The following is a 16011-nucleotide window of genomic DNA, read 5'->3' as shown; positions in this document are numbered from 1 at the left end:
TTTTATAGAGGGCAAATGGAGTCATCTACTTAAAATGATTTGGTGTGAAAAATAGGCCTTGTGAAATATACTGAACTATGACCTGAAGATTCTACTTCTTTTGTGGATAAAAAATGTAGAAATTAAGGCAAGTAAATTTTAAAATAATCCAAGACAAATAACATGACATTGTACACAGCATATGCATTATCTATTTCCCTATTTTTGTCACATGCTGTAGTCCAAGAATGATGACAATAAAAATATGTTTATTGAGTTGTGGATTCTATTTGGAAGCACCAAAATCAGCTGGTCTTGAAAGAAGACAATAGTTCAGGATGTATTTAATTGTATAACAAGAATAGAAATCAATAGGTACATTGAGTTGGTTGAGAAAACTCTATTAAGACCAAAATCAAGGGCTCTGCTTTATTTGATAGTGTCCATAAATCTGTCTAGTTTCCTAGGACATGCTTAAGAGCAGTTTTTAGGTGGAGATGGAGGAAAACTTAAGATTTAAGGAAGAAGCTACACAATGCTAGGATTCTTCTGATAGAAACACAAAGGTAAAATTTTAATACAAAAAAAGAACATTTTCCTTATGAGTATGTACAACTTTCTTATATGTATTCTAAAACTATATATATGTCAGGATTTTCATCTGAAATAGATAAAACGTAACTTTTATGTTCTTTCAAAAAAATATCAATGGTTGTTTCTTTAAAGGGGAGAAGTACAAAATTTCCTAATAGTTACTGCCCTCTAATGGTCAAACGCTTGAACGATGAATGTATGACCTGTGTGTGTGTGTGTGTGTGTGTGTGTGTGCGTGTGTGTGAGTGTGTGTGTGTGTATACATGTCTACATTTCATTTATAAGTTACTGTATGTTAGCTTCCACACAAACAAAGTCTGGAAACTTTTCCAAGTGTTAATGTGTTATAAGAATTTACTGTTATTTTTGTCCATAATTACAATCCCTAAATAGAAATTAAGACATTTAGCAAGTTCAGTGTGGGCCTGAAAGATATGTTGTGAAATAGTATGGAAACATTCTTTTTAAAGTATAGTTCACCTAAAACAATGATGTTTAATGAATACTTATAAGGAAGTTTCTTGAGGAAAAATAATGTTTTCATAATTTCAGTAAATGCTGGTAAATCTATATCATACATCCACTCAGAATCTTCACTTGCTTAGAATCCCGTTTTGATTATAAACATATTTTGTTGAAAGAATTGGGAGTATAGGAATTCTTCTAAATACTAGTTCTGTGAGAAAAAATAGATTCCACATTTAAAAATGTAGTTAAACCATACTAAATGTGTTTGTTTACCTTATGACTTCTTGAGGTTTTGCTAAATTTTATTGTGAATCTCTAACAGGCCAATACTACATATGATATTTCCTAACCTTACCTGATCTTGGGTCCCTTTTATTATGAAGCATGCTATGAGTTTAACATTCTGGAGAACACATGTTCAGAATGAATTAGGTAGTAATTTAATAAGGAAATAACATGATTTAAGTAAATGTAAAACAAATTGCTTCTAATATCATGTTTTACCAATTCATGAAGTTCATAAGCATACCAAAAATATCTCACTCATTCCCTATGTTCTTACCATCTGGTGGAGTGAATACTGAAATATTTGACTTGGGCCCAGTCCCTGCACTGGTTTCAGCCGCAATATAGACATCATACATTGTAAATGGTGTTAGGTTAGTGAATGCAAACTTGAGGTCTTTTGTGCTGTTATCCAAAATGCGACCTGCAAAAAGTGGAAGATAGCTATGGATTATTTTTTATCAAGCGTGCAATCATGTTCACATTTAAGTACAGAGCCAAAGACAACAATTCAAGTGTTAACCTATGCACTAAAATTTGTTATTATAATATCAAAACTGCATATATTTTAAACATGTGGCTTAGTAGTGCACTGATATCAATTTAATGAAAATAAATGAAAGAACATGAAAATGTTCCAGTGCTTAAAATGACTTTTATTAAATCATAAAGCCTTTTTGAATTACCAGGTTATTTTTGACATATTGAAAAGGGAAGCATCAAATTTTATCAGTTCAAAAAGTGACCAGATTTTATACTCAAATTTATTCAATTAAAATGCTAAATAACTTTGGGAGGCCGAGGCGGGCGGATCACGAGGTCAGGAGATCGAGACCATCCCGGCTAAAACGGTGAAACCCCGTCTCTACTAAAAATACAAAAAATTAGCCGGGCGTAGTGGCGCGCGCCTGTAGTCCCAGCTACTTGGGAGGCTGAGGCAGGAGAATGGCGTGAACCCGGGAGGCGGAGCTTGCAGTGAGCCGAGATCCCGCCACTGCACTCCAGCCTGGGCGACAGAGCGAGACTCTGTCTCAAATAAAAAAAAAAAAAAAAATGCTAAATAATTTCATTATCTTCTATAAGAGGATATATTTAGAAAATATTTCTAGTTTAGCTTCTGAACAAAATTCCTTAGTCTGTCAGCACAATACTTTAAATCTTCGACTTTGCTTTAAATGTTTCCTTTACCTTCTTGCTCTAACTACAAACTGGCTCTTTCCTGAGAACACTGTTTTTGTTCCCCTGCAGCCACCCCAAATGGTGGCAGTCTGTTTTTGCCCCACAGCTCTCAAGTAACCAGGCCTTTAGGTGTGGTAGGTGTTGTCCTTGCTCCTCATTGCTCCACTTTATTTACTATTCTCTCTCCCTCCTTATAAAAGCCCACAGCTTTAAATACTGTATCACCAGTGAAATCCACTAGCCCTCACAGTTGTCGTAATCTACTAACCTGAGGGTCATTTACTCTCATTTACTTTCATGGTCTAGCTTTGGTTCAAGGCTACCATCTTAATTTGTGCTGATTTTAATATCCTGAGACTTAATCCTTAAATTACTTAGATATTTCCTTAAATAATCTAGTTTTTCAGAATTTCAGCCACTCCCTCAAGATCATAACTTGGACATTACTATCACCAATTACTCCGTATCATTAAGAATCTCAATTTCATGCAACTTTTTTCTAACCACTTTTGCTTACTTCCTTTACATTTCCTCTATAATTCTGAACTGATAATTCTTTAAATCCACTGAAATCAACAATCCATTGATTTAATCACCTATTTTATTTTTGTTTTATTTTATTTGGCCCCTCACCACTTGATTTCCACTCTACCCATCTTCAGTGTCAGTTTCAATTATAATCACTGCCTTACACAGGCCTCCAATTCCCTCGCCCTTCTGTTGTTGAAGGCAGCTCATTTACAGCACAAAGCCATTAATTGATGTCACTTTATTCATAGCCAAACCTTGAATGAGCCCTACATGGTGCCTGGAATCTTACTCAACTTACATAGTCAATGGTCCAATCACTCTACTCTTCTAGAAGATTATTTTACACTTACTCTTCTCTGCTCAGACCTCTAATACCTTCTGCCCTATCTTCACTCCCAACTAATAGTCTTGCTTCCCACTACACTGAAAAAGGTAAACCAGTTAGAAAATATTTGCCACAGGCTCCCACCAACACAACTATATATTTACCAGCATCTACACCCATATACTCTGCCTTACAACCTATAAGAACAACTTATGGACAAATTATCTGTTAGTATGGACAAATTATCTGTATTCTTATCTCAAACCAATGGCTACATTTGAGCAAAAGATCTCACCTTCTGCCCACACAGACACCTTTCCAGTAATTCTCGTTTTTCTTATATCATTAACATTTTCCTTATTTTCCTCATTTCCATCAGCAAACAAACATGCTTTATATGTTCTTACTGAAGAGACCTGTTGACTTCACTTATCCCTACCCTTACTCTCTATTCACTGCTTTGCTTTGCAGCTAAACTCAAAAGAATTTCTACACCCATTGTTCCAATGATCTTCTCCCATTCACTCTTAAACTAATTCAATCATGTATTTACCCCACATGTTCCACCATACTGAAAGCATGTGATCACTCCCATGTTGCTAAATGCAATTATTGCTACATGCCTCTCACTTGATTTATCAGCCAGCCTTACAAATGAAAGAGTACTTCAGCCAAGTATTGAACAATAATGTCAGACAGAAAAGATGTAGCTGTGTATCCATGTCTGTTTCTGTGTATCGGATGGGTGAGTGGAGGGAATTATCTTTTTTTAGGAAGTAAAAGTATTTCAGAATTTTAGGAGCATAAGTTACTTAGGGATGAAAGATAAAGGTTACTCATGATGGTGATGAGTGATTCATACCACAGAAATTGCAAAATAAAATGAGTTGGAACTCTGTATCTTTTTTGATGCCCCCAAATAAATGATAATATGTGGCTTTATTATTTATCTCATCATTGTTAGAATTAAACTTCTTTCATAGAATCAGAGGCTCTCAATCAGGAGAGAATTTTAGACTTTACATAATTCACTTCTAATGATATAATACTTGATCCTAATGATATAATACTTGATCCTCTCAAAGTATCTCTGGCAAGTGGATGCCCAGGTCCTGCTTGCTTACAAAGTTGGAGAACTTGCCACTTTATAAAGCTGCCCAAAAATTTTAATAGGTTTTCTTTTTTAAAGCAGTTTTAGGTCCACAGCAAAATAGAGCAGAAGATACAGAGATTTTCCATGTTATTTTTAGAGAGCTCTTTCTAATGATTAAAAACTAGGCTCCTAGCAGTGAATAGAAATCTAATTTAATATAGTCAAAGTCCATTGTTCTTCATGAATGTAAGCCAAGGACTTCTTGTTCAAATATTTGAAGATGTATATCTCCACTAACACTTTTTTCTTGAGGAGTTATCTCTAGTTTTTCACATGCATCACATGAAATGTGGAACATGAATAGTTTTGTCATTCTTATACTCATTTATGGTTTTGAATTAAAAAATCAAAGGACCTCCCCTTCCTTATGACTTTCCTATTGTTTGCTTCAATCTTAGAGTCTTTTAAAAAGAGTCTGATACTTTTAAACAGAGTTTGATATTGGTAACATATTTTATTATTCTCACTCCAAAAGGCAAACACAAAACCAATTAAGGCTTACCTGATGGTCCATATAATTCAACTCTATAACTAAATTTCCCTGTTACTATAGTTGGTGGGTCCCATAAAATTGAAAAGGACTTTCCTGTGATGTTGCCTGTTACGCAGTTTTGTGGTGGTCCTTCAGGCACTAAAATAATTATAGAAAATAAATACATAACATATATTTAAAATGAAAGCGCACCCTATTAAATACACATAATAAAACACAAAGGCAAAGAAGGAAAATAAAATATCGCGCTTAAAAGCAGAGTTTTTTTATCTTAAAAAAGAATAAATGGAATATAATTGAAAATTGTGAATAACACATGCTGGATCATCAGATAAACTTATTTTTAACAATTACTGATTTTATTTAATACTGTTTACTATTGCACTGCGCAAGTTTCATTCTAATATTCATTGTAATACATTTATTGCCAATGTTACATTGTCTTGAAACATTTATACCTGCATATATATACTGCATTCAACAAAGTCTGGATGAACAAAGTCTGGATATCTGGCTTGATAAACATTTTCTCTCTTATTAACACAGGTAGAAGTTTCAAGAAAATGACCCTCAAAATTATGAGCAAATAATTTTTACTTTTTGTATCAATATTTGTATTTATTCTAAGAACAAATTTATAATCTACATTTGGAGGATTCAAATGTAATATTGATAACATGAAAATAATAATGACATTTTAAATTACTCTATTTTTCTTAGATGTTTATTCTTTTAATTGAAATAAAACAATTCCAAATATTTTTCAAAACAAAATTATTGTCTAGCAAATTTCACCTTGTATGACCCTTATGAAATCATTGTTTTAAAAATTTTATTATTATTACACTTTAAGTTTTAGGGTACATGTGCACAACGTGCAGGTTAGTTACATATGTATACATGTGCCATGTTGGTTTGCTGCACCCATTAACTCGTCATTTAGCATTAGGTATAACTCCTAAAGCTATACCTCCCCCCTGCCCCCACCCCACAACAGTCCCCAGAGTGTGATGTTCCCCTTCCTGTGTCCATGTGTTCTCATTGTTCAATTCCCACCTATGAGTGAGAATATGCGGTGTTTGGTTTTTTGTTCTTGTGATAGTTTACTGAGAATGATGATTTCCAATTTCATCCATGTCCCTACAAAGGACATGAACTCATCATTTTTTATGGCTGCATAGTATTCCATGGTGTATATGTGCCACATTTTCTTAATCCAGTCTATCATTGTTGGACATTTGGGTTGGTTGCAAGTCTTTGCTATTGTGAATAATGCCGCAATAAACATATGTGTGCATGTGTCTTTATAGCAGCATGTTTTATAGTCCTTTGGGTATATACCCAGTAATGGGATGGCTGGGTCAAATGGTATTTCTAGTTCTAGATCCCTGAGGAATCGCCACACTGACTTCCACAATGGTTGAACTAGTTTACAGTCCCACCAACAGTGTAAAAATGTTCCTATTTCTCCACATCTTCTCCAGCACCTGTTGTTTCCTGACTTTTTAATGATTGCCATTCTAACTGGTGTGAGATGGTATCTCATTGTGGTTTTGATTTGCATTTATCTGATGGCCAGTGATGGTGAGCATCTTTTCATGTGTTTTTTGGCTGCATAAATGTCTTCTTTTGAGAAGTGTCTGTTCATGTCCTTCGCCCACTTTTTGATGGGGTTCTTTGCTTTTTCTTGTAAATTTGTTTGAGTTCATTGTAGATTCTGGATATTAGCCCTTTGTCAGATGAGTAGGTTGTGAAAATTTTCTCCCATTCTGAAGGTTGCCTGTTCACTCTGATGGTAGTTTCTTTTGCTATGCAGACGCTCTTTAGTTTAATTAGATCCCATTTGTCAATTTTGGCTTTTGTTGCCACTGCTTTTGGTGTTTTAGACATGAAGTCCTTGCCCATGCCTATGTCCTGAATGGTAATGCCTAGGTTTACTTCTAGGGTTTTTATGGTTTTAGGTCTAACATTTAAGTCTTTAATCTATCTTGAATTGATTTTTGTATAAGGTATAAGGAAGGGATCCAGTTTCAGCTTTCTACATATGGCTAGCCAGTTTTCCCAGCACCATTTATTAAATAGGGAATCCTTTCCACATTGCTTGTTTTTCTCAGGTTTGTCAAAGATCAGATAGTTGTAGATATGCAGCGTTATTTCAGAGGGCTCTGTTCTGTTCCACTGATCTATATCTCTGTTTTGGTACCAGTACCATTCTGTTTTGGTTACTGTAGCCTTGTAGTATAGTTTAAAGTCAGGTAGTGTGATGCCTCCAGCTTTGTTCTTTTGGCTTAGGATTGACTTGGCAATGCGGGCTCCTTTTTGGTTCCATATGAACTTTAAAGTAGTTTTTTCCAATTCTGTGAAGAAAGTCATTGGTAGCTTGATGGGGATGGCATAGAATCTATAAATTACCTTGGGCAGTGTGGCCATTTTCATGATATTGATTCTTCCTACCCATGAGCATGGAATGTTCTTTCATTTGTTTGTATCCTCTTTTATTTCATTGAGCACTGGTTTGTACTTCTCCTTGAAGAGGTCCTTCACATCCCTTGTAAGTTGGATTCCTAGGTATTTTATTCTCTTTGAAGCAACTGTGAATGGGAGTTCACTCATGATTTGGCTCTCTGTTTGTCTGTTGTTGGTGTATAAGAATGCCTATGATTTTTGTACATTGATTTTGTATCCTGAGACTTTGCTGAAATTGCTTATCAGCTTAAGGAGATTTTGGGCTGAGACGATGGGGTTTTCTAGATACACAATCATGTCGTCTGCAAACAGGGACATTTTGACTTCCTCTTTTCCTAATTGAATACCGTTTACTTCCTTCTCCTGCCTAATTGCCCTGGCCAGAACTTCCAACACTATGTTGAATAGGAGTGGTGAGAGGGGGCATCCCTGTCTTGTGCCAGTTTTCAAAGGGAATGCTTCCAGTTTTTGCCCATTCAGTATGATATTGGCTGTGGGTTTGTCATAGATAGCTCTTATTATTTTGAGATACGTCCCACCAATTCCTAATTTATTGAGGGTTTTTAGCATGGAGGGTTGTTGAATTTTGTCAAAGGCCTTTTCTGCATCTATTGAGATAATCATGTGGTTTTTGTCTTTGGTTCTGTTTATATGCTGGATTACATTTATTGATTTGTGTATATTGAACCAGCCTTGCATCCCAGGGATGAAGCCCACTTGATCATGGTGGATAAGCTTTTTGGTGTGCTGCTGGATTCCATTTGCCAGTATTTTACTGAGGATTTTTGCATCGATGTTCATCAAGGATATTGGTCTAAAATTCTCTTTTTTGGTTGTGTCTCTACCCGGCTTTGGTATCAGGATGATGCTGGCCTCATAAAATGAGTTAGGGAGGATTCCCTCTTTTTCTATTGATTGGAATAGTTTCAGAAGGAATGGTACCAGTTCCTCCTTGTACCTCTGGTAGAATTCGGCTGTGAATCCATCTGGTCCTGGACTCTTTTTGGTTGGTAAGCTATTGCTTATTGCCACAATTTCAGAGCCTGTTAGTGGTCTATTCAGAGAGTCAACTTCTTCCTGGTTTAGTCTTGGGAGGGTGTATGTGTCGAAAAATTTATCCATTTCTTCTAGATTTTCTAGTTTATTTGCATAGAGGTGTTTGTAGTATTCTCTGATGGTAGTTTGTATTTCTGTGGGATCAGTGGTAATATCCCCTTTATCATTTTTTATTGCATCTATTTGATTCTTCTCTCTTTTCTTCTTTATTAGTCTTGCTAGCGGTCTGTCAATTTTGTTGATCCTTTCAAAAAACCAGCTCCTGGATTCATTAATTTTTTGAAGGGTTTTTTGTGTCTCTATGTCCTTCAGTTCTGCTCTGATTTTAGTTATTTCTTGCCTTCTGCTAGCTTATGAATGTGTTTGCTCTTGCTTTTCTAGTTCTTTTAATTGTGATGTTAGGGTGTCAGTTTTGGATCTTTCCTGCTTTCTCTTGTGGGCATTTAGTGCTATAAATTGCCCTCTACACACTGCTTTGAATGCGTCCCAGTGATACTGGTATGTTGTGTCTTTGTTCTCGTTGGTTTCAAAGAACATCTTTATTTCTGCCTTCATTTTGTTAGGTACCCAGTAGTCATTCGGGAGCCGTTGTTCAGTTTCCATGTAGTTGAGCGGTTTTCAGTGAGTTTCTTAATCCTGAGTTCTAGTTTGATTGCACTGTGGTCTCAGAGACAGTTTGTTATAATTTCTGTTCTTTTACATTTGCTGAGGAGAGCTTTACTTCCAACTATGTGGTCAATTTTGGAATAGGTGTGGTGTGGTGCTGAAAAAATGTATATTCTGTTGATTTGGGGTGGAGAATTCCGTAGATGTCTATTAGGTCCGCTTGGTGCAAAGCTGAGTTCAATTCCTGGGTATCCTTGTTAACTTTCTGTCTAATGTTGACAGTGGGGTGTTAAAGTCTCCCATTATTATTGTATGGGAGTCTAAGTCTCTTTGTAGGTCACTCAGGACTTGCTTTATGAATCTGGGTGCTCCTGTATTGGGTGCATATATATTTAGGATAGTTAGCTCTTCTTGTTGAATTGATCCCTTTACCATTATGTAATGGCCTTCTTTGTCTCTTTTGATCTTTGTTGGTTTAAAGTCTGTTTTATCAGAGACTAGGATTGCAACCCCTGCCTTTGTTTGTTTTCCATTTGCTTGGTAGATCTTCCTCCATCCTTTTATTTTGAGCCTATGTGTGTCTCTGCATGTGAGATGGGTTTCCTGAATACAACACACTGATGGGTCTTGACTCTTTATCTAATTTGCCAGTCTGTGTCTTTTAATTGGAGCATTTAGTCCATTTACATTTAAAGTTAATATTGTTATGTGTGAATTTGAACCTGTCAGTATGATGTTAGCTGGTTTATTTTGCTCGTTAGTTGATGCAGTTTCTTCTTAGTCTCGATGGTCTTTACATTTTGGCATGATTTTGCAGCGGCTGGTACCAGTTGTTCCTTTCCATGTTTAGTGCTTCCTTCAGGAGCTCTTTTAGGGCAGGCCTGGTGGTGACAAAATCTCTCAGCATTTGCTTGTCTGTAAAGTATTTTATTTCTCCTTCACTTATGAAGCTTAGTTTGGCTGGATATGAAATTCTGGATTGAAAATTCTTTTCTTTAAGAATGTTGAATATTGGCCCCCACTCTCTTCTGGCTTCTAGGGTTTCTGCCGAGAGATCCACTGTTAGTCTGATGGGCTTCCCTTTGTGGGTAACCCGACCTTTCTCTCTGGCTGCCCTTAACATTTTTTCCTTCATTTCAACTTTGGTGAATCTGACAATTATGTGTCTTAGAGTTGCTCTTCTCAAGGAGTATCTTTGTGGCATTCTCTGTATTTCCTGAATCTGAATGTTGGCCTGCCTTGCTAGATTGGGGAAGTTCTCCTGGATAACATCCTGCAGAGTGTTTTCCAACTTGATTCCATTCTCGCCATCACTTTCAGGTATACCAATCATACGTAGATTTGGTCTTTTCACATAGTCCCGTATTTCTTGGAGGGTTTGTTCATTTCTTTTTATTCTTTTTTCTCTAAACTTCCCTTCTTGCTTCATTTCATTCATTTCATCTTCCATCGCTGATACCCTTTCTCCCAGTTGATTGCATTGGCTCCTGATGCTTCTGCATTCTTCACGTAGTTCTCGTGCCTTGGCTTTCAGCTCCATCAGCTCCTTTAAGCACTTCTCTGTATTGGTTATTCTAGTTATACATTCATCTACATTTTTTTCAAAGTTTTCAACTTCTTTGCCTTTGGTTTGAATTTCCTCCTGTAGCTCGGAGTAGTTTGATCGTCCGAAGCCTTCTTCTCTCAACTCGTGAAAGTCATTCTCTGTCCAGCTTTGTTCTGTTGCTGGTGAGGAACTGCCATCCTTTGGAGGAGGAGAGGTGCTCTGCTTTTTAGAGTTTCCAGTTTTTCTGCTCTGTTTTTTCCCCATCTTTGTGGTTTTATCTACTTTTGGTCTTTGATGATGGTGATGTACAGATGGGTTTTTGGTGTGGATGTCCTTTCTGTTTGTTAGTTTTCCTCCTAACAGACAGGACCCTCCGCTGCAGGTCTGTTGGAGTTTGCTAGAGGTCTACTCCAGACCCTGTTAGCCTGGGTACCAGCAGCGGTGGCTGCAGAACAGTGGATTTTCGTGAACCGCAAATGCTGCTGTCTGATCATTCCTCTGGAAGTTTTGTCTCAGAGGAGTACCCGGCCTTGTGAGGTGTCAGTCTGCCTCTACTGGGGGGTGCCTCCCAGTTAGGCTGCTCGGCGGTCAGGGGTCAGGGACCCACTTGAGGAGGCAGTCTGCCCGTTCTCAGATCTCCAGCTGTGTGCTGGGAGAACCACTGCTCTCTTCAAAGCTGTCAGACAGGGACATTTAAGTCTGCAGAGGTTACTGCTGTCTTTTTGTTTGTCTGTGCCCTGCCCCCAGAGGTGGAGCCTACAGAGGCAGGCAGGCCTCCTTGAGCTGTGGTGGGCTCCACCCAGTTGGAGCTTCCAGGCTGCTTTGTTTACCTAAGCAAGCCTGGGCAATGGCGGGTGCCCCTCACCCAGCCTCGCTGCCACCTTGCAGTTTGATCTCAGACTGCTGTGCTAGCAATCAGGCAGACTCCGTGGGGGTAGGACCCCCTGAGCCATGTGCAGGATATAATCTCCTGGTGTGCCGTTTTTTAAGCCTGTCGGAAAAGCGCAGTATTCGGGTGGGAGTGACTGGATTTTCCAGGTGCCATCTGTCACCCCTTTCTTTGACTAGGAAAGGGAACTCCCTGACCCCTTGTGCTCCCCAAGTGAGGCAATGCCTCGCCCTGCTTCGGCTCTCTCACGGCGCACTGCACGCACTGACCTGCATCCACTGTCTGGCACTCCCTAGTGAGACGAACGGGTACCTTAGATGAAAATGCGGAAATCACCCGTCTTCTGCATCGCTCATGCTGGGAGCTGTAGACCGGAGCTGTTCCTATTCGGCCATCTTGGCTCCCCCCGAAATCATTTTTTTATTGTATAAAAAGTAAGGAGTATGTAAGAAGAAAATGGTATAATTCAAAGATGGTTATTTAAATGAACAAAAAAACTTCAAACTTATATGAAATGAAAAATAATAGAAGCCAACAGCTATTTTATCAGAAAAAACATGCTTTAGTGAAATTACCCTACCAATAATTTTCAATACCTCAGAAATTAGCAATTACAACCTAATGCCTGATACTATATTATGATATATCTGTCAGCTATATATATTATATATATAATAAATACCTTATGTAATGTGGGACTATATCAATATCCCTTAAATTTTATAAATATATGAAATACATAAATACATGTATTTACATGAATACTGATATAGTACCATAATTAAATATATGAATACCTTACCAAAAATATGTTCTCATAAAATTCAGTAGTAATGATAATATCTAATTATTCTCATTTAATTTTAACACTGGCACCCTAAGGAAGGTACTATTACTGTCTCTATTTTTCAGATGAGGAAACTGCAGTGCAAATGGGATATAAGTAGGTATATATTTTAGCTACTGCTTGTATCTGATAACTAAATGTTGATCACATGCTCGTTCTGCTAGTGCAGGTATTTCTGCTTTTGATGATGGCAATAACAGTGAGAGAAGGGTGTAAATGATTATAAATCATTTAGAACGGCAAAGATGATTACTAAAAATTGCTGACATTATAAAATGATAAAAGCTATATGAGGATCACGGTCAGTGGCTCAAGAATTGTTTTTTGCAAATCTTTCTCCTTTCAAATACTTATTTTGTGCTATAATATAAAAGAGTATAGAAATTCGAAGAAACCCTTGATGGGATGCCTATGGTATATTATTAGGGGAAAAAAGTTACTGAAAGGTAAAGAAGATTAAAATTAAATATCTACATAAATTAAACATTATTCTCTAATCATTTAAATCTTTTTATCTACAAAAAGTGAACCATACCTGATTCTGGTGTTCTGACAATCGTACTATCAATATAACCTGCTTCAGTTGTAGCAGCTGAAACTTCAAAAAGATATGTTGTATAAGGTCTCAAGTGTGTCACTACAAAACTGATAGGCTCTTTCCACACAGAGCTGATCTCATTCTGTGTCAACGTGCTTGATGAATGTGTGGTACGCGATGGAGGTGTAACTCTACCAAGGGTTGGAGAAGGGCTGGCTGTACTCCATAAAAAAGATTCACTATTCTCCTAGTAAATAAAATAAGATCAATAGAGAAATAATGTTGTATCTCTTGGTGAACATAAGAATAAGAACATGTAATTCATTTCTTTTTCTTTTATGCTATACATACACACATAACATGCAAAAGTTATAGACAAATTTGCTAGATTTTAATTGTACCCATTTATGTCTGCAGTTTTAGAAGAGGACATATTTATTGTATTCCTTATACCTTAACCTTTACGAATAGAATTTCAAGTGGCTTAAAATAAAGGTAAAACTACAGCACAATCATCTGTAAGAATTTTTAAGCTTCATGTTAACAGTGCAAGAGCCAAAGAGCTGAAATAATTTTACTCTTGTGTATGTTCAAATGCTGCTTTCTTACTGTTAATGAACTTTTTTTTCTCATAAGTACTAAAAAGTAGTAGTATGCCACTAGCTCACACGTTAGGTGTGTGCGTGTATTAGAACTATATCATAAGTTGAAAAAGAAGATTTTTAGACTTTTATAAAGTATTTACAGCAAAAATAACTGTTTGACTGTGTTTGCATTAATAGTAACACAGAGATTACCAAAATGATTTTAGGAAAAGCATTATTATGCTTATCATATAATTAAAATGACGATGCTTATTCTATAATAAAGCATTACTATTATGAGGTTTATCATCAATGACCAGAGTAACGACAAATTCTTTACCAAAGATATGCACAACAATGACAGTCTACCTCTGCAAATTTAACCTCAACTATTACCCTACATGTACTCTTCCCTCCTGTCATATGGAAGTAAAATATTTTCTCCAATTATATCTTACACTTTTCCACCTCAGGGCTTTATAAAGTATCCTCCACCGGGAATGCCACCATCACAAAATCTCTATCTGTCCTTGCTCCATGGTGTATCACAAATGCTACTCCTTTGATGAAGTCTTTTCAGAATTCCCTAAATGATTTTAATCCCTCACTCTTGAATTCTCAAACCATTCCTGTATTCTACCTGAATGAGGCCAATTGTGTTACATGATACCCTAAGTAATCAAATAATAAAACGTTGTGTATAACATGATACCATAAGTAATCAAATAACTAATAAAACTTTGGTAAAAATATAGTATCTAGATGCTAGAAATATGAAAATTAAATTTATCTAAGATTTTTCAAGACATAGAAAGTGTTCTGTGATACTTACATTGCATTCTGGCAATTTCCCAGTCAAAATGTCCTCTACTCTGATTGAGACATCTTTCACTACTATCCCACTTCTGGCATGCTTGACACTAATCTTGAAGCTGGTAATTTTGCCATTTGGTTGCCGAGGTAAATACCAAATCAGCTTAACTGCTGAAGCGTTGTAGGCCTCAACTGTGAGATTCACCACTTTTCCTGGAGCTGGGGAAGAGAAAGATTGGGAAGGAAAAAACTTTGTTATAAAACTTAGAATTGCATTTATATAATTTCATGGTACATGAAATTAAATATATAATACACTGCATAAAATCTATTTGTGTAAGATTTTTATAAATGTATTTAACTGAACTTTGCCTAAAATAAAAAACTGGAGTTGGGGCAAGTCAACTTTACTTTAGGATAACTGGGCTAATACATGCATTGATGAAACGTTTCAAATAAGTATGAAAAAAATTCAATCAATAGTTGTGAATATACAAACAAGTTGGGATAAATTTCTTATTTCCTTAACTATTTTGGAATATGTAGTTTCATTAGATATGAAAAACATAGCAAACTGAATCAATTATACAACCATTTTCACCAAAAAGCAGATTTCTGGAATGTTTATAAATGTCTAGTGCCTAATATCAAGTGGATACCCTGCAATTGGTTGTAATTATTGTATTTTACATTTTCAAAATCAACTTACTTCAGAATTTCATTATGCTTTTCTATCAATTATTAATTATATAGAGTAATAATAATAATAATCTGAGTTCTATTTGAGTTGGCTTGAAACCAATATGAAGCTAGAATTAGGGGAAATTATTCCCATTAACCTCATGGTAAAGTGTGTAAAACTGATAGAGTAAAACACCAAGATCCTTCAGAATATAAAACAAACATGACAAGTCATTTTTGAAAGAAATCAAAATGAAACAAAACGTCTGAGATAAAAAAAAAATAAGTGATAGTAAAGATGCCTAGTATTAAGATGCCAAATAACTAGAGTTTAGGTTTACATTGTACAAAAGGATGCTAAAATATAATTTATAAGTAATAGCCACATAAATTACATAAGAAAGTTAGATCTTTGGAAGGAGGTCTATATGAATGATATAAGGTAGGAATTAAGGGACTTCAGGACAGCTGCATTCTAATAAAAATAAAATATAATGCAACAATTCTTGGGAATAATGTTGGACAGGATGTCAGCAATGAGTGTGAGATTCAGAATACACTTTGATGATTGTGCTGGTAAGATTTACTGATAGATTAGATGTGTACTGTGAGAGAAAAGAGCCACAGGTGACATCAAGATTTTTCCTCTATGCCCCTGGAAGAATGGAGGTATCTTAAATTGGTTTGGTAATGACTGCATGTTACCCAATAATATAATAACCATTAAAATCCGTGTTTCCAAAAGTCTTATGTTATAACAAGCTTATGACTTCATGTTAAAAAGAAAAGGCAGGATATAAACTTGCATATGTAGCACAAGCTTATTTTCATTAATGTATAGTCATATAGATACATATTAATGGGGGAAATAGACAAGCCAGAAATGCACCAAAATGATAAAAGCATTTTTTATATGATAAGTCTATGGATAATTTTCATTTTTTATTCTTGTTTTTTCAAAGTTTTGTAAGATAACAT

The 16011-nt window shown here is 36.0% G+C and overlaps 1 protein-coding gene across 1 annotated transcript in view, besides 1 other annotated feature; it reads right to left on the bottom strand.

The window, feature by feature from the left end:
* Positions 1-16011, bottom strand: part of PTPRQ (protein tyrosine phosphatase receptor type Q) — a 236039-nt gene that overhangs the window by 206419 nt on the left and 13609 nt on the right. The window contains exons 5-8 of the mRNA NM_001145026.2: positions 14372-14571; positions 12953-13202; positions 5017-5145; positions 1604-1750 (exon numbers count right to left, since the gene is read on the bottom strand). Coding sequence (NP_001138498.1) covers positions 1604-1750; positions 5017-5145; positions 12953-13202; positions 14372-14571 — 726 coding nt within the window. The remainder of the gene's footprint in view (positions 1-1603; positions 1751-5016; positions 5146-12952; positions 13203-14371; positions 14572-16011) is intronic.
* Positions 3002-3545: an enhancer, noted in NCBI's record as "OCT4-NANOG hESC enhancer chr12:80864089-80864632 (GRCh37/hg19 assembly coordinates)". NCBI's record gives its function as "activates a minimal SCP1, AML or CMV promoter by ChIP-STARR-seq in primed H9 embryonic stem cells {active_cell/tissue: H9 hESC(primed)}" and the evidence as "EXISTENCE:reporter gene assay evidence [ECO:0000049][PMID:30033119]".

Source organism: Homo sapiens, chromosome 12 (genome assembly GCF_000001405.40).
Source record: "Homo sapiens chromosome 12, GRCh38.p14 Primary Assembly".
Classification (NCBI taxonomy): domain Eukaryota; kingdom Metazoa; phylum Chordata; class Mammalia; order Primates; family Hominidae; genus Homo; species Homo sapiens.
This window is presented reverse-complemented; position numbering and strand designations above follow the sequence as displayed.